The sequence below is a fragment of the Homo sapiens genome, chromosome 19 (assembly GCF_000001405.40).
Source record: "Homo sapiens chromosome 19, GRCh38.p14 Primary Assembly".
NCBI classification, from domain to species: domain Eukaryota; kingdom Metazoa; phylum Chordata; class Mammalia; order Primates; family Hominidae; genus Homo; species Homo sapiens.
Window position 1 is genome coordinate 12,262,044 of NC_000019.10, and position 25,017 is coordinate 12,287,060.

Sequence of the window (25,017 nt, forward strand, 5' to 3'; positions counted from 1 at the left end):
CTAACTAAATGACAAATTGCATCATATTTTATCTTTCTACTGTATCCCAGAGGGCAGTGCTTTCAGGAATGAGTAGCCTATTTAAAGCATGATGGATTTAAACCTAACTCTAAATGTAAAAAAGTCTCAAAGATTACATAAGTTTTGAGTAGTTTCCATCGTATCATTAAAATAGGAACTCAATTGAATTTTCATCTTATCAATTAAAATAAAAATTCATTTTTCTTTTTCTTTTTTCTCTTTTTTTGGTGGAGTCTCACTTTGATGCCCAGGCTGGAGTGCAATGGTGTGACCTCAGCTCACTGCAACCTCCGTCTCCCAGGTTCAAGCAATTCTCCTGCCTCAGCCTCCCGAGTAGCTGAGATTACAGGCGCACACCACCACACCAGGCTAATTTTTGTATTTTTAGTAGAGACAGGGTTTCACTGTGTTAGCCAGGATGGTTTTGATCTCCTGACCTCATGATCTGCCCGCCTCGACCTCCCAAAGTGTTGGGATTACAGGCCTGAGCCACTGCACCCGGCCCAAAATTCATTTTTCTTAAAGAGTAGAGCCTTTTAAATGTCACATCCTCTAGGGCATATGCACATACAAAACTGACTTAAAAATGAAAAATGTACCCGAGAACTTCAATGCACTCATCTTGCATCTTAAGATTCTTTTGCACAAAAGGAACACAATTCTGCTTGGTTCCAGAATTGTCTTGCCTTACATCATATTTATCAACTTTCATTTTCAAAGCCAAAGAAACGAAAATCCTACACACTCACATGTATAAATTACAAAATGCTAAGGGAAACTACAGTTGAAGCACCACAATAAACAGAAAAAGGAAACCAAAGGAAAGAAACACAAATATTCTAATCAGCTTAGCAGCCTGCTTCCCCACAATTCAGAATTGTAAAATCCACACACAGAAGGTCAAACACCCTAACAAGCTGGGGGTTCAGACTCTCACCATTAAGGTGTAACACCTAGAGTAGTTCAGTCCCAGATTCAGTTTAAGGTTCTGACCCAAATGAACTCTCAAATTCATCAATCTTTTTTTTTTTTTTTCCGGAGACGGAGTTTCACTCTTGTTGCCCAGGCTGGAGTGCAATGGCGCAATCTCCCGCTCACCGCAACCTCCATCTCATGGGTTCAAGCAATTCTCCTGCCTCAGCCTCCTGAGCAGCTGGGATTACAGGCATGTGGCACCACACCCAACTAATTTTGTATTTTTAGTAGAGACGGGGTTTCTCCATGTTGGTCAGGGTGGTCTCGAAGTCCCGACCTCAGGTGATCCGCCCGCCTCAGCCTCCCAAAGTGCTGGGATTACAGGCATGAGCCACCATGCCTGGCTTCAAATTCATCAATCTTAGATCCAGGAGACAAAAGTCCTAACTTCACAGACTTTCTCAACATGTAAATATTACACTCTGAATGCAGCAACACTGGGGATGCAAAACAGAAGGCTGGGAGTGGTGGCTCATGCCTGTGATCCCAGCACCTGGCAGGCCAAGATGGGAGTCCCTGAGGCTACAAGTTTGAGACCAGCTTGGGCAATGTATCAAAACCCTGTCTCTACAAAAAACAAAAAACAAAAAAACAAAAAAATTAGCGCTGGGTGCAGTGGCTCACGCCTGTAATCCCAGCACTTTGGGAGGCCGAGGCGGGCGGATCACGAGGTCAGGAGATCGAGACCATCCTGGCTAACATGGTGAAACCCCGTCTCTACTAAAAATACAAAAAATTAGCTGGACATGGTGGCAGGCGCCTGTAGTCCCAGCTACTTGGGAGGCTGAGGAAGGAGAATGGCGTAAACCCAGGAGGCAGAGCTTCCAGTGAGCCGAGATGGCACCACTGCACTCCAGCCTGGGCGATAGAGCGAGACTCCGTCTCAAAAAAAAAAAAAAAAAAATTAGCCAAGCATGATAGCATGTGCCTGTAGTCCTAGCTACTTGGGAGGCTGAGGTGGGAGGATCACTTGAGCCCAGGAGGCTGCAGTGAGCCAAGACTGTGCCACTGCACCCCAGCCTGGGTGACAGAGTAAGACCCTGTATCAAACGAAACAACAACTACCCCTCAAATCCACTGTCTAAAAACAGGCCCAAGGAAACTACAATTACAACCCCAGAAGTATCACGCTGTTCCCCTCCCCACCACGTACATGTGGATCCCCAGTTTTCCAATGCTCAGTTTCTGTCAGTACCAAAGGGGTCTTTCCTTGATAGGTGTGAGTATGTAGGACACCTGCTCTCCTTGATAAGCGTGAGTACGTAGGACACCTGCAGGGGAAGCACCCTAAGGAGAACCACCTGGGTCTTAATTACTTCCCTTGGCAGAGTCAAAGGTGGCCTTACCTTCTAGTCACTGCCTCAGGCCTCCGCTCACTAGTCATGCGGCTTTAGAACACTTTTGATATTTTAAATGAGAAAAACCCAGTGTTTCAAGAATTCAGCAAAATCACTCAAACCAAGTATTTATGTATAAAGCATGGAAGCAAACTGTAAAACATTATCTAGTTTCAAAACAAAACCCACAAATATCTATTCCTTTTGGAAAATGAAGTTAATTATAAATGATTATTTAATCACTAGTCAAACTATTAATCATTAATCATGATAAACTATAATCATTAGTCAAACTAATAATGTAATCAATAGTTAATTATTATAAACAATTTTTTTTTAGAGGGGGTCTCACTCTGTCACCCAGGTTGGAGTGCAGTGGCACAATCTTGGCTCACTGCAACCTCCACCTTGCAGGCTCAAGCGATCCTCCCACCTCAGCCTCCAAAATAGGTGGGACCACAGGCACGCACCACTATGCCTGACTAATTTTTTGTATTTTTTGTTAGAGACAGGGTTTCGCCATGTTGCCCAGGCTGGTCTGGAGCTCCTGAGCTCAGGAGATCCACCTGCCTTGGCCTCCCAAAATGCTGGGGTTACAGGCATGAGTCACTGTGCCCAGCCAGAAGTGGTTTTCTAAACAATCATATTTTAACACACCTAGGAATTGTAAGTCTAAGCCCTGGAATTCCTCTTGAAATCAACCAAAAGAAAAAAACGAGCCTCAGAAACTTAGAAGAAAAAGGGGTTAAAATAATATTTAGGCTAGGCACAGTGGCTCATGCCCGTAATCCCAACATTTTGGGAGGATCACTTGAGCTCAGGAGTTCGAGACCAGCCTGGGCAACATAAAGAGGCACGCTCTCTACAAAAAATTAGCTGGGTGTGGTGGTCCCAGCTACTCGGGAGGCTGAAGTGGGAAGATCGGTTGAGATGGGGAGGTCGAAGCTGCAGTAAGCCTTGATCCCCCCAGTGCATTCAAGCCTCAGCGAGAGGGAGACACTGTCTCAAACAAACAAACAAAAAAAGCAGGATGTAATACTGGATTTCTTTTTTCCAGAAATTCACCTTTCTTGGCCTTTTTGGAAATATTTTGTACCATCCTTCACGCTCTAGTGATTGAACACACCTTACATTTACCTAAATACTAACACACAATCGAGTCGACGTTTTCAAGGTGATAAAGCCGGGGAGGCTCAGTGCTGATCCGCAACTATGCTCAAGGACAGATCACCCAGAAAAATTTCCAAAGAGGATCCTCAACACGTAAGATGTCTGTGCCAAGGAAAGATACTGGGAGGTGAGGCACAACCATTTCATACAACTAACTTCCAAGCTGCTATCTCTGCTTTCCTCTCTCGTAAAATATCCACGAACAACAACAAAATTAAATCTAAAAGACTAATCCTTTGCTCTGTGGAAAATAGATTATTAAAACACAGTAAGTTTTCCCTAAAAGTCGTCGAGAGGGTCTTAGAAACTGCGACTTTATGGTATAACAAAACCTATTTGTTTCCTTATCAACGATGTAAGGAACATTCTAGAACCTGGTGCACGTCGTTTCGCTAAAGTTGCACCCAAGGCGGGAATTCTCCCCATGACCCTCCCATGGTCCCCGCACAATCTGGGGGAGACGCGGGCCTGCGGGCGCGGAGCTGCCCAGAGAGGGCTCTGGGGCTGGGGGCGAAGTCACCACGCAGGGACAGGACAGGACGCCCGGGGTCCCGACTGCCGGCCGGACCAGGGCCACCCTGCGGCCAAGGGGACCGAGGGCCGAGCTGTGCCATGGGGACTAGAGCCCCAGACCCCGGAGTCGCCCGCAGGGAGGCCCGGGTCCCGCCACAGCCGGTCCCAGCCAGCCCCTCCTCCCGCGTGTCGGGACCCCAGCCCGGCACACTCACCATTTCCTGGACTCCAGGGTGTCCCAGCATCCTCCTGATGGCTCTCCTGGCCACAGCAGGGCAAATCGCGACACACCCTGAGCTGACACACCCTCAGCACTTTCAGAGAAGCCGAGAGCGACCCGAGGGCGCCAAGGCGAGAGGGAAAAAAAACCCAAACCCACGGGCTTTAGCGCGTCGCCCCGCCTGCTGCCCTACAGCACGCCTGATTGGACTGTTGGCACGGCCCCGCCCTCAGAACCCCTAATTGGATAGTGCCCTAGGCCCCTCCCCCTGGGGTGGGGGACACAGTGCAGAGAGGAGAGGTAAGGCAAGCGCCTGAGAGGGGCCAGAATGACAGATTCTTGACCATTGCCCTTGCCAGCTTGGGCATCCTCCCTGATCCATTTTCCCCTATCAATAAGTTAAATGAGTCCAAGATCCTCAAACCTATTGTTTAAATAAGAAACCAGCAGGACATGCCCTCGCCAGAGGACATTGGAATTTAAGAACTTGCTCCTGGCTTTCCAGAGCTGGCACTGGCGTCTCCCTGTACTAATGGGACTTTCTTTCTTCTTCCTCTTGGACAAAAGGGAATTGCATTCTCAGTGGCCAAAGGAACGATCCTCGTGCCTCAGAGCAGGAGGGGTGCCTAGACCAGGTCACACTGGAACATGGGAGAGGGCTTGATGTCCTCCAGGGGTCAGGAATTTGGAAAGAAAGGCTGTTGGTGGCATGGCGAAGGCTTCCTCACACCTTATCCCTCAGTCTACTCATTTTTTCTTTTTTCTTTTTTTTTTTTTTGAGACAGAGTCTTGCTCTGTCGCCCAGGCTGGAGTGCAGTGGCGTGGCATGATCTCGGGTCACTGCAACCTCTGCCTCACGGGTTCAAGCAATTCTCCTGCCTCAGCCTCCTGAGTAGCTGAGATTACAGGCACCCACCACCACACCAGGCTAATTTTTGTATTTTAGTAGAGACGGAGTTTCACCTTGTTGGTCAGGCTGGTCTCGAACTCCTGACCTCAAATGATCCACCTGCCTTGGCCTTGCAAAGTGCTGGGATTACAGGAGTGAGCCACCGTGCCCGGCCTGCCTACTCATTTTCAGCCAAAAAATTAAAACACACCAACAAGGGAATACAGTTATTTAATATATGGGAAAAAGGGGAGTTATATGACAGCAATATTCTATAAAGGAATAAAAACGGAAGAAAAGGAAACATCTGAATTGGTTCATTTAAGCAGTCTACACTGCACTACCATTTACAAGGAAAACGCCAAGTGACAAACATATTCCCAAGCTGGGGAGTCAGACTCTGTTGAAAGGGGCCCAAGAGTCTATCAGTCCCTGGTGATGAGGCAGAGAAACCTAAGGATTTAACTCTGGGAGCTCAACATGTCCTCCTGTTCCCACCTCATGTGGGAACAATCTTCCCTTCAAGATCTTTATTTTCAAAAGCAAGAAACTCTCACCTGGAGTCAGTTTAAGGTTCTGCCCTAAACTGTCAACTTTATAAACCCTTCTTCTAGGAGACAACCCAAATGAGACTTAGTCTCTAAGTCTCACCTTGACAGATTGTCTTTTTTTTTTTTTTAATTTTTGAGACAGAGTCTTGCTCTGTCAACCAGGCTGGAGTACAGTGGTGTGATCTCGGTTCACTGCAAACTCTGCCTCCCAGGTTCAAGCGATTCTCCTGTCTCAGCCTCCCAAGAAGCTGGGATTACAGGCGAGCGTGACCACACCTGGCTAATTTTTGTATTTTTAACAGAGACAGGGTTTCACCATGTTGGCCAGGCTAGTCTCAAACTCCTAACCTCAGGTGATCCGCCTGCCTCGGCCTCCCAAAGTGCTGGGATTACATGGGCCTTTGGTGTTCTTACACACACACACAGACACACACACACACACACACACACACACACACACACAAGCTCCTTCCCCACCCCAGTCACAAAGATACTCTCCTACATCTGATGCTAACTTTGTATTTTTGCTTTTCATCATTTTAGTGTTAATTTTCACATATGATATGAGATAAAGGTCTCAGTTCATCTTTCTGCAGGTTAATATCCAGTTGTCCCAGCACCATGTTGAAAACGCTTTCCCCATTATCTTGGGGCATTTGTAGAAAATCAACAGACCATAAATGAAGATTATTTCTGGTCTCTCTATTCTGTTCTACTGGTCTATGTCTAACATTATACTAGTAAATCTGGCTAATCTACTACCTGCCCTGTTGATGGATGGCCCCATTTCATTCCACATGATTGCCTTGCAGGTCCAGAAATGGTTTCAGAGCCAGGAGAAAATCTCTTTATTATTATTTAACTTACACTGTTATTTATTTTGAGACAGGGTCTCACTCTGTCACCCAGGCTGGAGTACAGAGGCATGATCATAGCTCACCACAGCCTCAAACTCCTGGGTTCAAGTTATCCTCCCACCCAGTAACTGGGACTACAAGCACATGTCAGCATGCCTGGCTAATTTTTTTTTTTTTTTTTTTCTGAGACAGGGTCTTGCTCTGTTGCCTAGGCTGGCGTGCAATGGCACAATCATGGCTCACTCCAATCTCACCCTGCCAAGCTCAAGCAATCCTTCCACCTCAGCTTCCCGAATAGCTGAGACTACAGGCGTGCACCACTACCCCAACTAATTTTTAAAATTATCTGTAGACACATGGTCTCCCTATGTTGCTGAGACTAGTCTCAAATTCCTAGACTCAAGTGATCCTCCTGCCTTAGCCTCCCAAAGTGTTGGGATTACAGGCTTGAGCCACCATGCCTGGGCCCCTGGCTATGAGAATCTGGGAAGCACTCCAACCACAAGTAAATAGTTCATCCACACCTGGATACTCCAAAATCACTGCACCCTGGATACACTGACTGTCTGCCCAGCAAGGAGAGTGAGCGACCACTGCTGGAAAATACTGCTTTTATGTGCATGACATGAGAAAAATTGTGTCTAGTTTACACATTCTAAAAAAGAAGGCCGGGCACAGTGGCTCACGCCTGTAATCCCAGCACTTTGGGAGGCCAAGGCAGATGGATCACAAGGTCAGGAGATTGAGACCATCCTGGCTAACACGGTGAAACCCTGTCTCTACTAAAAATACAAAATTAGCCAGGCATGGCGGCGGGTGCCTGTAATCCCAGCTACTCGGGAGGCTGAGGCAGGAGAATCACTTGAACCCAGGAGGCAGAGGTTGCAGTGAGCCGAGATAGCACCATTGCACTCCAGCCTGGGCAACAAGAGTGAAACTCCATCTCAAAAAATAAAATAAAATAAAATAAGAGATGGAGTCTCACTATGTTCCCCAGGCTGGTCTTGAACTCCTGGCCTCAAGCGATCCTCCCACCTCAGCCTCCCAAAGTGCTGGAATTACAGATGTTGTGTCACCACACCTGGCCAATAGTTATAAATGTTATAACATTTCTTTGATGATGCAAATTTTCTGGAGCACTATACATGAGTTAATTTGGATTGGATTTTCCCAAATTACTTACATTATGGGATTTCTCCCCAATGAGCACTGGGATGAGGAGACTTCAATCCACCAAAGTTGTATATATATATATCCATGGAGGTGATACTTAGGTCATCTCATCAGAAAACACTCATACTTGTCCACAAATAGATGTTGCATATGGCATTAGTACCATCCTCAGAAATTTATATATATTTGCAAGAAATATTATTTTAAGTCAATAGTATATGCTATCATGAATACAGGATATGCTCACTCCATAAGCAGCAAATTGACTCCTTCACAGTTTTAATAGATTTCCAGTTGTTTTGTCTTCAGTCTCCTAAGAAGACAATGCTATAATCTCCAACCACATTATTTGCTTCTTCCATCCCATTCTTCATATTGATCATTGTTGTGTGACATTAGTTGACTACTGTAATGATAAATAACTAGGGTAAAATAGATACATTTGCTCTTTCTTAGGTTCCATTCCTCCTTTCAGTGGGAAGCCTCACACACACTCTCATCATGCTCTGCTATGAAACATAGCTTAACCAAGAATCGTATATCCAGCAAAGCTCATGTTCAATACAAAACAAAAATTTAATTTTTCTGTTATGCTGATGAAAAAGTGTAAGTGATGTTCTTGCCTTCTAACACTGTTATCGCTGCCACAGCCACTTGGTCAAGGATCATCAAGCAGATTAAGGCAATTTACACCCATTTCAACTTTTTTTTTTTCTTCTTGAGACCGAGTCTCACTCTGTCACCCAGACTGGAGTGCAGTGGTAGGATCTTGGCTCACTGCAACCTCTGCCTCCTGGGTTCAAGTGATTCTCCTGCCTCAGCCTTCCAAGTAGCTGGGACTACATGCGCATGACACCAGGCCCAGCTAATTTTTGTATTTTTAGTAGAGATGGGGTTTCACCATGTTGACCAGGCTGGTATCAAACTTTTGACCTCAAGTTGATCCATCTGCCTCAGCCTCCTAAAGTGCTAGGATTACAGGTGTGAACAAGTGTGCCCAGCCCCACCTCAATATTTATACAATTTATGTTGCCTTGATTCTAACCCTGACTGTACCACAGTGTACTTATGGAAGAGCTTCACAATTGCAGATGCAACTGTGCTTACTGCAGAGGCTGTAGATGCCCTAAAGCCCAGGACACCCAAAGCATATTGGAAGCCATTGGAGTGAGGGAGTAAGTGATTTCAGGGGTTTCCCCAAGACTGATACAGCAGTCAGGAATATCTTAAATGTTGCAAAGAAAGTTGGTGGAAAGGAAACTGAAGATATACTGAAATCCTCTACAAGTGATGATGATGATGATGATGATGATGATGATGCTGCTGATGATGCAGAAGATTAAGAAGAGGAGCAGTGCCATTGATTTGGACACGCGAAAAATTTGCAGCAGATCTTGGGGCATCTATAGCCTCTGCAAGTTGCAAGTGTTAAAGATAATCAACCTCAGCTAACATCCTTTGATTGAAAAAAGCTTCTGTGTCATATAAGGGAAAATATGCTAATGAACACTAAGGTTTTTTTAGGGATTCAAAGAAAAAGAACTAGCTTCCTAAAACAATGCTTCTAACTAAATATCTGCAAATATGAAGACATACCCTTCAACACAAACATCTTCAGCCCTCAAGCTGAACAGATGCTGACATTAGTATTAGCCTCCTGCAAAGAGTCAACATCTTCAATCAGAACCTGGGTCTTCCAACATAGATGAAGGTCTTGATGTCCTGTCAAGATTCAAGTTAGCCTGAGGTCTCACTGTTTATCTATGATGCCACACATCTAGTCACCTCTACACATCACATTAGGCACCATACAGCAATCATCATTGTCATAACCATCGTAATACTTGGGTTATCAAGAGAGAAGAACCAGAATTGTGGTTGGTGTTAACACATTCTTTCAGGTCATTAGACAAAAGTAATCTGAGTATTGAAACAAGAAACTGTAACATTATAGGTGATATATACGATGTAGATAGGCCTGCAATGGTTGGGTCTGTACTGAACACATATAGATTTTTTTTCTTATGATTCCCTAAACAATACAACTATGTACACAGCTTTTACAATGCATGAGATATTTTAATTAATCTAGACATTTATAGAGTATACAGGAGAATGTGGGTAGGTACATGCGAATATTCCATTTTATAAAAGAGCTGGCATCTGTGGATTTAGGTATACTCAGGGTGTACTGGAACCAATCTTCTTGCATATAGCAGGCAGCAACTCTATTTGAAAGAAATGGAAACTTTTTTTTTTTTTTTTGAGATGGAGTCTCGCTCTAGCACCCAAGCTGGAGTGCAGTAGTGCAATCTCGGCTCACTGCAACCTCCACCTCCCGGGTTCAAGGGATTCTCCTGCCTCAGCCTCCTGAGTAGCTAGGACTACAGGTGTGAGCAACTATGCCTGGCTATTTTTTTTTTTTTCCGTATTTTTAGTAGAGACAGGGTTTCCCATGTTAGCCAGGCTGGTCTCGATCTCCTGGCCTCGTGATCTGCCCTCCTCGGCCTCTCAAAGTGCTGGGATTACAGGTGTGAGCCGCTGCGCCCAGCCTGGAAACTTCTTAAGGCTTTACCACGTTTACATTCACAGGATTTATTTCTTTCAAGTATCTGAATGTGATAAAACCAATGAATGCTTTCCCACATTCCATACACTTATAGAATATCCTTCCAGTGTGTCCTTTTATGTCTATTAAAGGAACTGAGAGAACTGAAGGCTTTCCCACATTCCTTACATTCATAGGGCTTCTCTCCAGTGTGAGTTCTTTCATGTTCTCGACAGAAACTGGAACGACTGAAGGCTTTACCACAGTGTTTACATTCATAGGGTCTTTCTCCAGTGTGAGTCCTTTCATGTCTTAGAAGGAAAGAGGGCCAAAAGAATGCTTTCCTGCATTGCTTACATTCATATGGCTTCTCTGCCGTGTGAGTCCTTTCATGAGTTTTTAAGTAACTGAAACGACTGAAGGCTTTGCCACAAATTTGACACTCATAAGATTTTTCTTCACTGTGAGTCCTTTCATGGCGACAAAAGTATTTAAAAGAACTAAATGCTTTCCCACACTCCTTACATTCATAAGGCTCCTCTTCACTGTGTGTTGTTTCATGACTTTGAAAGGAAAATAAATCACTAAAAGCTTTTCCACATTTACATTTATAGGGTTGCTCTCCAGTGTGTGTTGTTTCATGTTTTCGAAGGGAACTGGAAGTACGGAAGGCTTTCCCACATTGCTTGCATTCATAGGGTTTCTCTCCAGTGTGAGTCCTTTCATGTCTTTGAAATACACTAGGAGAATCAAAGGCTTTCCCACATACTGTGCATTTATGAGGGCCATCTCCAGTGTGTGCCATCATGTGTCTTCGAAAGCTTGAGCGATGAGATAACAATTTCCCACATTGCTTACATTCATAGGGTTTCTCTAGAGTGTGAGTTCCTTCATGAATTCGTGCTGAACCAGGAAAATCAAAGCCTTTCCCACATATCTTACATTTATGAGGTCCATCTCCACTGTGCATTATCATGTGTCTTTGAAAGCTTCCAAGATGACAAAACGCTTTCCCACACTGTTTACATGTATAGGGTTTCTCTCCAGTGTGAATTCTTTCATGTACTCGAAGGGAACCGGAAACACTGAAGGCTTTCCCACATTGTTTACATTTGTAGGGTTTCTCTCCAGTGTGAGTTCTTTCATGTCTTAGATATGAACTGTAATCAGGGAAGGCTTTAGAACACTGCTTACATTCATACGGTTTCTCCCCAGTGTGTATTTTTTCATGTCTTAGATAGGAACTGTAAACAGGGAAGGCTTTAGAACACTGCTTACATTCATATGGTTTCTCTCCAGTGTGAGTTCTTTCATGCATACGTAATAAACTGGGCCAAAAAAAGGCTTTCCCACACAATTCACATTTATAAGGTCCATCTCCACCTTTTACTACCATATGTCTTCGAAGGTTTCCAGGAGAACTGAAGGTTTTTCCACATTCCTTACAATCATAGGGTTTCTTTCCAGTGTGAGGCCTTTCACATGTTTGAAAGGAGTGGCGATAACTTAAGCCTTTCCCACACTGCTTATGTGTATATGACTTCTCTGCATATTCATGACACTCCCGGTGTTTGTGTCCAGTATCAACTCTGATGTAGCAATTCAGGGATGAATGACCCATTATGACTTCTCCATTCACACTGCTTCCACATGCATCTACTCTGGCGGGAGTGTTCTTGTTTACAATACTATTTCGAATCTGGCTTAAGGTTTCTCCACACTGACTACCATCTTTACTTTTACCAAATCTCTCTACCACATCACACCTGTAAAAAATGAAAAGTACATTACTAAAGGTTTATTATTGAATTTATATTTATCAACAGGTATTAGATTTACATTTTTAACATTATCAGGCAAGCTATAAGCTTCATGTCCTGCTTCAATGTGAATGGACTGAATGTTGTGCAAGATAACTCAATCCCAGCTATTTTCAAGACAATGATATGCACATGGGGATTCTTAATTCTTTTTTTTTTTTTTTTTTTTTTTTGAGATGGAGTCTCCCTCTGTCATCAGGCTGGAGTGCAGCTGGTGCTGTCTCGGCTTGCTGCAACCTCCGCCTCCCAGGTTCAAGTGATTCTCCTGCCTCAGCCTCCCAAGTAGCTGGGACTACAGGCATGCACCACCACACCCAGCTAATTTTTGTGTATTTTTAGTAGAGATGGGGTTTCACCATGTTGGCCAGGTTGGTCTCGATCTCCTGACCTCGTGGATCCACCCACCTCGGCCTCCCAAAGTGCTGGGATTACAGGCATAAGCCACTGCGCCTGGCCTTTTTTTTTTTTTTAAGACAGGGTCTTGCTCTGTCACTTAGGTTAGAGTGCACCAGTGCCATCACAGATCACTGCAGCCTCAAACTCCCAGGCTCAAGTGATCCTCCTGTCTCAGCCTCCCAAAGTGCTGGGATTGCGGGCATGAGCTACCACACCCAGCCTCATATGGGAAATCTTAATATTGTTTCCATGGGAACTACTTTGCAAACACTGAATAGCTATGTCACATTTAATAATATATTTATGTCACATTTAATAATATATTTTTATAGAGAAATTTTTCTAAGAATAAATAAATTTAAGCTGGGCTTGTTCATAATCTTTGCTTCTTTTTAAAAGTTCTTGTCATTCTCAGAAACACTGCAAGGACATCACCTGTCTCTTATAAGTACAAATTACCTTGGATTTCTCCTGAGATTTTGGTGCTGATCATCAATGTTCTGGTTTTCCCATTTCATTCCTAAAAGAGAGATCCAGAAAATTCACTATAAATTATTACAAAATGATACAAAAATTGTTAAGATTTTATGTACACTACAATCATGTATGATTCATTCATTGAACTATAGTTGACTCCTGAACAACACAGGTTTGAACTGCACAAGTCCATTTATATATAAATGTTCTTCAGTCTCTGCTACCCCTGAGACAGCAATATCAACCCCTCTTCTTAGTTAGCCTACTCAATGTGAAGATGAGGATGAAAACCTTCATGATGATCCATTTCAACTTAATGCAGAGTAAATATAGTTTTTCTTCCTTAAGATTTTCTTATTAATATTTACTTTCTCTAGGCCGGGCATAGTGGCTCATGCCTGTAATCCCAGCACTTTGGGAGGCCGAGGTGGGCAGATCACAAGGTCAGGAGATCGAGACCATCCTGGCTAACATGTTGAAACCCTGTCTCTACTAAAAATACAAAAAATTAGCTGGGCATGGTGGCGGGCGCCTGTAGTCCCAGCTACTCAGGAGGCTGAGGCAAGAATGGTGTGAACCCGGGAGGCGGAGCTTGTAGTGAGCCAAGATGGAGCCACTGCACTCCAGCCTGGGCGACAGAGCAAGACTCCATCTCAAAAAAAAAGAAAAAAAATTTACTTTCTCTAACTTACTTTATTCTGAGAATACAGTATGCAATACATATGACATATATGTGCTCGTCACTTGTTTATATGACTGATAAGGCTGCTGGTCAAAAGTAGGTTAAGCTGTGGCAGACAAAAGATTATATGAGGACATACAACAGGTTGGGGCCTGGCACTTCACCCTGTGTTGTTCAGGAATGAACTGTATCCCTTTTCCATATTTCAAATCACTGAACAGCATTGATGACCACAAAACAAATGTCTCTAATTGACCAAATGAAGACATGATGTCATCCATACCTATACAGTTCAGGTTCCTAATGGTTTCTCGCATCACATCTCTGTAGAGATTCTTCTGTGATGGACCCAGCAAAGCCCACTCCTCATGGGTGAAGTTCACAGCCACATCCTCAAAGGCCACTGAGTCCTGAAACATCCCATATGTCCAGAAAAGGAAGGTTGAAACTCACAGTACTGAGAACCTATACTCACCTTCATAAACTTCCCATGATGCTGTGGTTTCCAAGCATTTATTCAATGACGTGGTAAATCCACTCTTATTCTGTGTCTGCACTCACTGTCTGATGCTGGAATTCTGATGCTGGAATTGGGCTTGCTAAAATAACAGTTGAGTAGGAACATATCTCTTATTGGTGAATTATGCAAGTGAATCTTATTGCCTGGATTACTCCTAATGTCTGTTTCTACAGTGGGTCTGTAGTCCTTGTCATGACAAAGTCCTACCACCTACTGTGCAAAAGAGAGTTACAATTAGCAGTCCTGAGACGGCATATCCTTACAACTGCTTGTTCACAATGTTGAACCTTTCGTGGTGTCTAGACAATGTATTTAGGGGAGGGCCCCGTAAGCATAACTAATAAAGGGGGTGGAGTGTGCCTAAACTATTTGTGTAAAAATTATGGTATTTGCTTAACTCCTAACTTCCCTCTGAGAGTTTGGAATTGTATTACATCCTCAGCAGAGGAAGTGTACCCAATCAGCCACTGCTAGGTTTGAATGTCTTCCCCTCCAAAATGCAGGCTGAAACTGAATCTCCAATGTGGAAGTAATCAAAGGTAGTGGTTTAAGAGGTGAGTGGGTCTTGAGGGTTTGGAACACATGGATGGATTAATCCACTCATGTATGAATGGCTTAATAAATAAACTGGTTATCACAGATGAGGTTCTGGTGTCCTTATGAGAAGAGGAAGATACTTCAGCTAGACACTCAGCCCCCTCATCATGTAATGCCCTGTACCACCCAGGGACTCTACAGAGTCCCCATCAGCAAGAAGATTCCCACCAGATGCCCACTTTGACCTTACTTGATCTTCCCAGCTTTCAGAACTGCAAAAAATAAATATCATTTCTTATAGATTACCCCAGTTCTGGTATCCTGTTGTAAGTAACAAAAAAACAGTCTTATAGACTAAGACATACACAAAGAAACACTCTAGGCACAGGGTCCCTAATGTGCAACTCTGGTAGATGATATTTCATATTTTTGTTGTTGTTGTTTTTTCAATGTCTTACTTGGGGGATTTAGCCTATCCTACGTGATTACACAGAGAGAATATTTGGAAGCTGGTGACTGGTTCCCTGTAGATCAAATGTAGTTAAGTATGACAAAAGACTAATAAAAGAGATTTTACCAACTAAATAGAAAAAATTGTAACTTTCTACTGGGTAATGTCGAAGGAGAAAGAAAAGAAGAGGACAGACTGCAAATGTTCTTAGACAGAATTCAGTGTCAGCTTTCATGAATATCAATTATATTCCATAAATCTCAACAGCAGACATTTAATAATCAATAACATTACATAAACCAATTTTTATAGAAGTCATAAATGTCTAAAGATGCTTAAAAAAAACCTTCTCATCAAGAAAGTAGACAGCTTTACAAAAACAAACAGAAGATTTAAAACTGTAATTTTTCACATCCCATACTATTAACAGAGAGAAAAAGATACATAAACAGGAAAGTGAAAAATGATAGAAAAGCCTTGTATTGTTTTTTCTTTGGCCCCATCTCTGCCCATCTCATTGCCAGTCCTGAAGACAGCAGAGTTCCCAGTGTAGAACTCTGATCACCACAGAGTGTACAGATCACATTTTGTTTCCACATTATTGCCTTTGTATTTTTGAATCAGTCTGGGGACTAACCGAAGGTCTGAAACAAGGCTCTCTTTTCTATTTCATCTACAACAGAATCCAATCAGAGTCAAACTGGGCAGGAACTACTTTAAAATGTTGTAAAATACACAAAAAGTGTGCAACCACCTAGGACAACACAAGATGACTAAGACATACATTAGAAGGCCAGGTGTGGTGGCTCACACCTGTAATCCCAGTACTTTGGGAGGCCAAGGTGTTGGGAACAGGCCCCCAAATCTAGCCATAAACAAAATCTCTGCAGCACTGTGACATGCTCGTGATGGCTATGACGCACATGCTGAAGGTTGTTGGTTTACCGGAATGAGGGCAAGGAACACCTGGCCCACCCAGGGTGGAAAACTGCTTAAGGCGTTCCTGAACCACAAACAATAGCATGGGCCATCTGTGCCTTAAGGACAAGTTCCTGCTGCAGATAACTAGCCAGAGCCCTTCCCTTTGTTTCCCGTAAGGAAGGCTTTTAGTTAGTCTATAATCTATAGAAACAACGCTTATCACTGGCTTACTGTCAATAAATATGTGGGTAAAACTCTGTTTGTGGCTCTCAGCTCTGAAGGCTGTCAGCCCCCTGATTTCCCACTCCACACTCTAAATTTCTGTGTGTGTGTGTCTTTAATTCCTCTAGTGCCGCTGGGTTAGGCTCTCCACGACTGAGCTGGTCTCGGCACCAAGGGGGTCAGATTGCTTAAAGGCAAGGAGTTCAAGACCAGCCTGGGCAATGTGGGGAGACCTCATCTCTACAAAAAATAAACAAAATTAGGTGGGTATGGTGGCGCATGCCTGTAGTCCCAGCTACTCAGGAAAGTAGGAGAATTGCTTGAGCCTAGGAGGTTGAGGCTGCAGTGAACCACGATTGTGCCACTGCACTCAAGTCTGAGTGAAAGAGTGACACTATTTCAAGGAAAAAAAAAAAAGACATATATTAGACCATCTAAGTCCCAGGAGAAAAGGCTAGGGTATAATTTTTCTTTACAAATAAGCATATTTGAAAGCACCCAGATATACTGGGGAATGGAGAAAGCCCCACGCAGGCACAGGAAACAATATATTTTTATAAAAGATGGGTGGGGATTCTGTTTTTCAGCTCTGGCTAACATCCAGATTTAAACAGAAAGAGAAGGCTACAGTAGTAAATACTGTGGCTAAGTGCTCAAAGAATGCCCCAGCAGAGAGCCATCCATGAAGACTGGAAGAGGTCAGGTTTTTGTTTGTTTCATCTTCTTTTTTACTTTTAGCTTCTAACATTCAGGAAATCTCTGTCAGAACGCTGGATGAACACAAGCTAAAGTCAGGAAATCTCTGTCAGAACACTGCATGATCACAAGCTAAAGAACAGAGACTTCAGTGTTTATACCCAGTAGGAAATACAGTCTCTGCAAACTAATTTGGAAATGTTACTAAACAAATGAATAGGCCAGGTGCAGTGGCTGAAGCCTGTAATACCAGAACTTTGGGAGGCTGAGGGAGGAGGACCACTTGAGGCCAGGAGTTTGAGACCAGCCTGGGCAACATAGTGAGATTCTGTCTCTATTTAAAAAAAAGAAAAAGAAATGAATAATTTCAGCCTTCAAGCAAGAATACCAAACAATTAAGGGGCAAAAATCTGATTTCCAGAGTTACCCAGTTATAACATTCAAATGTCTCCTTTTCAATACCCCCACCCCCAAAAAAACCCCAGAGAAATAAATAAAACAGAGAAACATGAAAATACGACTCATTAATGGAAACAATTTGAGATAAATCTGAGAAACCTCAGACACTGGATTTACTGAATAAAAACAGTAAAGCAACTGTCTTAAATATATTTAACTTAGTAAAGACAATAATAAACAAAGAACTAAGAGAAAACCAGAAAATTGATGTAGGGATAAAATAATACCAAAATATGTTAAAAATTGAGCCATATAGAATTTCTGCAGCTGCAAGATACAACAACTTAAATGAAAACATCACTAAAGGTATTCAACAGATGTGAGCAACCAGTGGAAAAAAAAAACTAAAATGAAGGTAAAACAATTGAAATTACCTGGTCTGAGTTAAAAAAAAAAAGAAGTTCATCAGAAAGAAAAAAATGATATGGGTTAGAAATTCAGATTGTGTGTGTGTGTGTGTGTGTGTGTATACACACACATATATATGAAGAGTGTTAGGAAACAATTAAATGAAGGCACAAAAAATTCTTTACTCTTCTTATACCTATCTGATCTAATAGATATAGGTTTATTCAAAATAATAATATCAAATTAGCTGGGCGTGGTGGTGCACAGCTGTAATCCCAGCTACTAGGGAGGCTGAGGCAGGACAATTGCTTGAACCCAGGAGGCAGAGGTTGCAGTGAGCCGAGATCATGCCATTGCACTCCAGCCTGGGAAACAGAGTGAGATTCTGTCTCAAAAGAAAAAATAATAATATCAACAATGTATTCAGTAGTTTATAGCTCCCAGTTGAACTAATGAATGAAAGTAATGTTATATGTGATGGGAGGAAGAACAGTCTATCACACTTCGGAACTGTCTATTATACCAGCACTATTCCTGAAGCCAGTATAGTACTATTTGAAATTGAAGGCCCATTAGTTGTGAATGCTATACTACAAACTCTGGGGAACTCACTAATAGAATCTAAGAAAAAGTAGACTATATAGATATATAATATAGAAAATAAAATCATATAGAATGCTCAGCTAAAAGGAAAAAGGGCAGAAAAGAGAAGTTAAAAAACACAGAGAAGAACAACAAATAGAAAACAATAATATACATGTTTATCTGAATCCAATTATGCCAACTGCCACTTAAATGTGTATTATCTATATTCACCAGTAAAAAAGAAAGGGACTGGCAGAGTGAAATAAAAAACAAGGCCCCAAACTATATTTTTAAAAAGTATTTTAAACAGAAAGACACAGATACATTAAATACACAAGTATGAAGAAATACATGCCATTCTAGCCCTGATCAAAAGAAATTTGGAAGACCTATATTACATTCAGACAAATCAGGTTTTAGATTTTTTAAAAATTACAAGGGATAGAGAGATTTCATAATGATCAAGAAGTCAATCCTACACGACATAATAATCCTTAACATCTATGCCCATAAAACAGAGCATCAAAATACATAATGCAAAAACATATAAAACCACAAGGCAAAATACACAAATCTAGGATTATAGTTGAGGGAAAACAACTCACCTCTATCAATAATTGACAGATCAGTTCTGCAGAAAATCACTAATGATATAGCTGAACTCAACAGCACTATCAATCAACTGGATTTAATTGAAACATATTTATAGAATCATTCATTCAACAACAGCATACATATTCTTCTCAAGCCTACATGAAATATTCACCAAGATGAACAATATTCTCAGCCATAAAACACACTTGAACAAATTTTTTAAAGTATGCGATCAAATCATATTAGAATTAATGTAAAAATTAGTAACAGAAGCATAGTTGAAAAACCTCAACAAAGTGGAGATTGAAGCCACAAACTTCTCAACTACACAAACTTCAAGGAGAATTGTCAAGCAAAATGTAAATATTGCAATGTTGATGAAAAGTGATATATCTTAGCAAAATCTTTGGAATGGAGTAAAGGCAGTGCTTTGAGGGAAATTTAAAGAATTAAATGCATTTCCTAGAAAGTAAAGGTTTAAAATCAACACCCTAACCTTCCATTTTAGGAAACTAGAGAAAAATGACAAGATTAATGTAAATCAAACAGAGGAAAGTAACGATGAGAAGAGATATTAATGAAATAGCAATGAAGAAATCAGTAGAAAACATCAACAAACCAACAGATGGTTCTTTGGAAACATCATTAAAATTCATAAGCCCATAGCCAAGTTAACTCAGAAAAAAGAGGAGCCATCACTACTACTCCCATGGACAGTAAAATGACCATAAAAAACTATTAGGAACAACTAAGTGCCCACATATTTGATAAAATTACACAGAATGGACCAATTCCTTGAAAGACACTATCTACCAAAACTCACAAAAAGAGACCTAAGTAATATGAATAGGCCTGTATCTACTGAAGATATTAATAAATAATAAATGTCCCAGAAAAAATAAGCAACAGGTCAGAACGATTTCACTGCTGAATTCTGGCAAGCGTTTATGGAAGAAATGATACCAATTCTCTACAATCTCTTCCAGAAAACAGAAGCAGAGGAAACACCTTCTATTCCATTTTATAAGGCCAACATTGCCCTAACACCAAAACTAGACAGACATTACAGACATATCTCCACCATGTGAGGACATAAGGGTTAGACTGCCATCTTCAAACCAGGTAGCAGGCCCTTACCAGAGGCCTCATCTGCTTGATATTGGACTTTCAGCCTCTACACCTTTGAGAAATGAATGTTTGTTGTCTAAGGCATGCAGTGTATGGCAATCTGGTATAGCAGTCCTAAGTGACTAAGAGAGGTAGACTCTTTCTCTACACACATTAGGCTTTGAAGTCTACAGGAATCAGGTCACTGGTCTCACATATAGGCATTAAGCTCCCTGCCAAGATAAAGAAGTGATAACCTACAGGTCACATTTGGCAGGTTTCCAAATCAACCCACTTGGAGAAGTCTTCTTTTTTTTTTTTTTTTTTGAGACGGAGTCTTGCTCTGTCACCCAGGCTGGAGTGCAATAGCACGATCTCAGCTCACTGCAACCTCCGCCTCCCAGGTTCAAACAATTCTCCTGCCTCAGCCTCTCGAGCAGCTGGGATTATAGGTGTCCGCTACCATGCCCGGCTAATTTTTGTATTTTTTAGTAGAGACAGGATTTCGCCATGTTGGTCAGGCTGGTCTCGAATTTCTGACCTGAGGTGATCCGCCCACCTAGGCCTCCCAAAGTGCTGGGATTACAGGCATGAGATACCACGCCTGGCGAGAAGTCTTCTAATTAAATGGCTTACATTCTGTCTGTGAGTAAAGGATCTTATCATGAGTCCCTCAAATCTTATTGTGAGTTCTTCAAACTGTTGATATGATTAACGTTATCTACTAACATCAAAAAAGACACTGATTTATTTCTGAATCATGTTTTGCTGATTGTCTTCCACTTAGAACATTTTAGCCTGTCAGCTGTCATCTATAGGCAATGATTGTAACGTCTATATTGTACCCTTCAAGGAAAATGACAATTCCGGTATGAATAGTCCTCCAGCTTCTCCTAAACTTTCTCATAAAGGCATCCAACTTGTAATCAATTTTGGAACACATCCAAATTTGTTGGTGTGTCTTCTCAAGTTGATCCTCAAATTTGGCTTACAATAAAACTTTATCAAATTGTATCTGCCTCAATGGCCTTATTTTTGGTAAACAAAAGTATCCCATGAAAGGCGCAATGTAACCATCCCCAACCAAATCCCTGGAGACACACCAGAGCAGAGATAAAGTTTATAGCCAGTTTCAAGAGACAGACCTAAAGATTAAATTAGAAGAATATACAACACCTATGAAAGACAAAAGCAGCACACTTTTAGAAATTACAGAAATTTTTTTTTCTTTTTGAGACAGAGTCTCGCACTGTCTACCCAGACTTGAGTGCAGTGGCGTGATCTTGGCTCACTGCAAGCTCCGCCTCCCGAGTTCATGCCATTCTCCTGCCTCAGCCTCCTGAGTAGCTGGGATTACAGGCATCCACCACCACGCCTGGCTAATTTTTTTGTATTTTTAGTAGAGACGGGGTTTCACCGTATTAGCCAGGATGGTCATGATCTTCTGACCTCATGATCCGCCCTCCTCGGCCTCCCAAAGTGCTGGGATTACAGGCATAAGCCACCACGCCCAGCCAGAAAAAATGTTTTTCTTATTTAACAAGAGTCTTCTTATATAAGAAAATAAAGTAGCTTCCAAAGGAGAAGTCTGGTAAATTGAACTCTAATTACATTAAGAAGAAGCAGGCATAGTGACTCACATCTATAATCCCAGTACTGTGGGAGGCCAAGGCAAGAGGAACTCTTGAGGCCAGGAATTTGAAACCAGCCCGGCAACATGGCAGACCCTCTGGCTACACAAAATTAAAAAATTAGCCAAGTGTGGTGGCACATGCCTATAGTCCCAGCTACTTGGGAGCCCAGGAGTTTGAGGCTGCAGTGAGCTGATTATGCCACTGCAGTCCAGCCTGGGTGACAGAGCTGGACATTATCTAAAAAAATAAAAAATTTAGGAAGAGTTCATCTAAGTAGAATAAATTTAAAAGATAAACCACCATCTGAAAGGAAATATTACCAATCCCTCCATGTAAAAAAGGATTCGTGTATAAAGTATGCCTAAAACAAAAAGAGAGAAACAAAGCAAACATTTGCATTTACTATGCAAATGAATTAAATGACTGAGAATTATTTCACAGATGAAAGCCCACAAAGGCGGTATGTTCAACATGAATGCTAATCCAGTAAAAACACAATATATAATCATATGGAGATAATACATAATCACATGGAGATAACTAAAAGATAAATATTAAAAGGTATAGCTTCTTCTCCAAGAAAACACCAAATGGCTGATGACGCAGGTGCAGCGCGGGGGTCCAGAGGCCCTGGGGACCCTGGGATGGGGAACCGCAGTGGCTTCCGCGGAGATTTCGGCAGTGGCATCCGGGGCCGGGGCCGCGGAGCTCTGAGAGGCAAGGCCGAGGATAAGAAGTGGATGCCCGTTACCAAGCTGGGCTGCCTGGTCAAGGACATGAAGATCTAGTCCCTGGAGGAGATCTATCTCTTCTCCCTGCCCATCAAGGAATCTGAGATCATTGACTTGTTCCTGGGGGCCTCTCTCAAGGACGAGGTTTTGATTACACCAGTGCAGAAGCAGACCCGTGCCGGCCAGTGCACCAGGTTCAAGGCGTTTGTTGCCATCGGGGACTACAATGGCCATGTCCGTCTGGGAGTTAAGTGCTCCAAGGAGGCAGCCACTGCCATCCGCGGGGCCATCATCCTGGCCAAGCTCTCCACTGTCCTCGTGCGCAGAGGCTACTGGGGGAACAAGATCGGCAAGCCCCACACCGTCCCTTGCAAGGTGACAGGCCACTGCGGCTCTGTGCTGGTGCGCCTCATCCCCGCACCCAGGGACACTGGCATCGTCTCAGCGCCTGTGCCCAAGAAGCTGCTCATGATGGCTGGTATCAGTGACTGATACACCTCAGCCCGGGGCTGCACTGCCATCCTGGGCAACTTCGCCAAGGCCACCTTTGATGTCATCTCTAAGACCTACAGCTACCTAACCCCTGACCTCTGGAAGGAGACTGTATTCACCAAGTCTCCCTATCAGGAATTCACTGACCACCTCGTTAAGACCCACACCAGAGTCTCTGTGCAGAGGACCCAGGCTCCAGCTGTGGCTACAACATAGGGCTTTCATACAAGAAAAATAAAGTAAATTAAGCCTGAAAAAAATGTATAAACAGACATGTATGCATTGTTTGTTTGTTTGTTTTTTGAGACAGATTTTCACTCTTGTTGCCCAGGCTGGAGTGCAAAGACGCGATCTCGGCTCACTGCAACCTCCACCTCCCGGGTCCAAGCAATTCTCCTGGCTCAGCCTCCCGAGTAGCTGGGATTACAGGCGCCCGCCACCACGTCCGGATATTTTGTGCTTTTAGTAGAAATGGTGTTTCACCATGTTGGCCAGGCTAATCTCAAACTCCTGACCTCAGGTGATCCACCCACCAAGGCTTCCCAAAGTGCTGGGACAACAGGCGTGAGCCACAGCACCCGGCCTGGTCAGACAGTTAATCCACACATGCTATTATGATTTCCTAGTAAACTGAAGTTTGTCTATAATCTATAACCCAGCAATGTTCCCCCATGTGTTGAAAAATTCATGAACTGTTAGCATGTAGAGACAAAACCAAAAATAACATTGTCAACAACATCAAAAAATTAACTTAAAAGTCAAGTCCTGGCCAGGCGCGGTGGCTCACGCCTGTAATCCTAACACTTTGGGAGGCCGAGGCTGGCGGATCACGAGGTCAGGAGATCGAGACCATCCTGGAGAACACAATGAAACCCCATCTCTACTAAAAATACAAAAAAATTAGCCAGGCGTGGTGGCGGGCGCCTGTAGTCCCAGCTACTCAGGAGGCTGAGGCAGGAGAATGGCGTGAACCCGGGGGTCAGAGCTTGCAGTGAGCCGAGATCACGCCACTGCACTCTAGCCTGGGTGACAGAGCGAGACTCCATCTCAAAAAAAACTCAAAAAAAAGTCAAGTCCTATGAGCACTGCAATGTGTGAGTAAACTGCATGACCCATAGCCTCAGATTTTAGCATGTGTCAAACAGATTGAGGCAAATAAAGAAAACAAAAATCTTTTCAGCACAATTTTTGTGTTTTTCCCCCGTTCATCCTTTCTTGATGTCTCTGAATCAAATCAATATTCTCTAGTGTTCCAATTTAGTTACTAATTATATTTACATTTTAGTGATATCTTTTTGCATTATATTTTAACAGGTTGCTCTGATGAACTAGTTCTCATGCATGAGAATCATCTGAAGGGCTTGTTAAAAAACAGGCCATTGGAGGCCGGGCGCGGTGGCTCATGCCTGTAATCCCAGCACTTTGGGAGACCGAGGTGGGTGGATCACAAAGTCAGGAGTTCGAGACCAGCATGGCCAAGATGATGAAACCCCGTCTCTACTAAAAATACAAAAATTAGCCGGGCGTGGTGGCGGGTGCCTGTAGTCCTAGCTGCTCGGGAGGCTGAGGCAGAAAATTGCTTGAACCTGGGAGGCAGAGGTAGGTTGCAGTGAGCTGAGATTGTGCTACTGCACTCCAGCCTGGGTGAAAGAGCGAGACTTGGTCTCAAAAAAAAGAAAGAAAGAAAACAGATCATTGGGGCTGGTTGCAGTGGCTCACATCTGTAATCCCAGCACTTTGGGAGGCTGAGGCAGGTGGATCTCTTGAGGTCAGGAGTTCGAGACCAGCCTGGCCAACATGGTGAAACTCCATCTCTACTAAAAATACAAAAATTAGCCAGGCGTGGTGGTGCACACCTGTAGTCCCAGCTACTCGGGAGGCTGAGGCAGAGGTTGCAGTGAGCCAAGATTGCACCACTGCACTCCAGCCTGGGCAATAGAGTAAGACTCTGTCTCAAAAATAAAAAATAAAAAAAAAATCATTGGGCCCCATTCCAAGAATTACTAATTCAGTAGCCTTGGGTAATACCCTAAAATGTGCATTCCTTTTATATATATATATACACACACACACACACGTATAATATATATA

The 25,017-nt window shown here is 42.8% G+C and overlaps 1 protein-coding gene and 1 pseudogene across 13 annotated transcripts in view; one reads left to right on the forward strand and one right to left on the reverse strand.

Moving 5' to 3' along the window:
- The window catches only part of ZNF44 (zinc finger protein 44), a 70,198-nt gene that overhangs the window by 37,358 nt on the left and 7,823 nt on the right, over positions 1-25,017 (reverse strand). For 6 of the 13 annotated variants that reach the window (NM_016264.4, NM_001353550.2, XM_011528062.4 and 3 more), the window contains 3 exons: positions 13,913-14,039; positions 12,930-12,990; positions 9,765-12,020 (listed from right to left, as the gene is read on the reverse strand). In NM_016264.4, coding sequence (NP_057348.3) covers positions 10,364-12,020; positions 12,930-12,990; positions 13,913-14,039 — 1,845 coding nt within the window. In that variant the 3' untranslated portion in view covers positions 9,765-10,363. Of the gene's footprint in view, positions 1-4,231; positions 7,267-9,764; positions 12,023-12,926; positions 12,991-13,912; positions 14,040-14,104; positions 22,612-25,017 lie in introns of those variants that run through there. The other 7 variants (XM_047438924.1, XM_047438922.1, NM_001353552.2 and 4 more) reach the window with 5 other exon arrangements.
- Positions 22,271-23,179, forward strand: RPS2P53 (ribosomal protein S2 pseudogene 53; annotated as a pseudogene).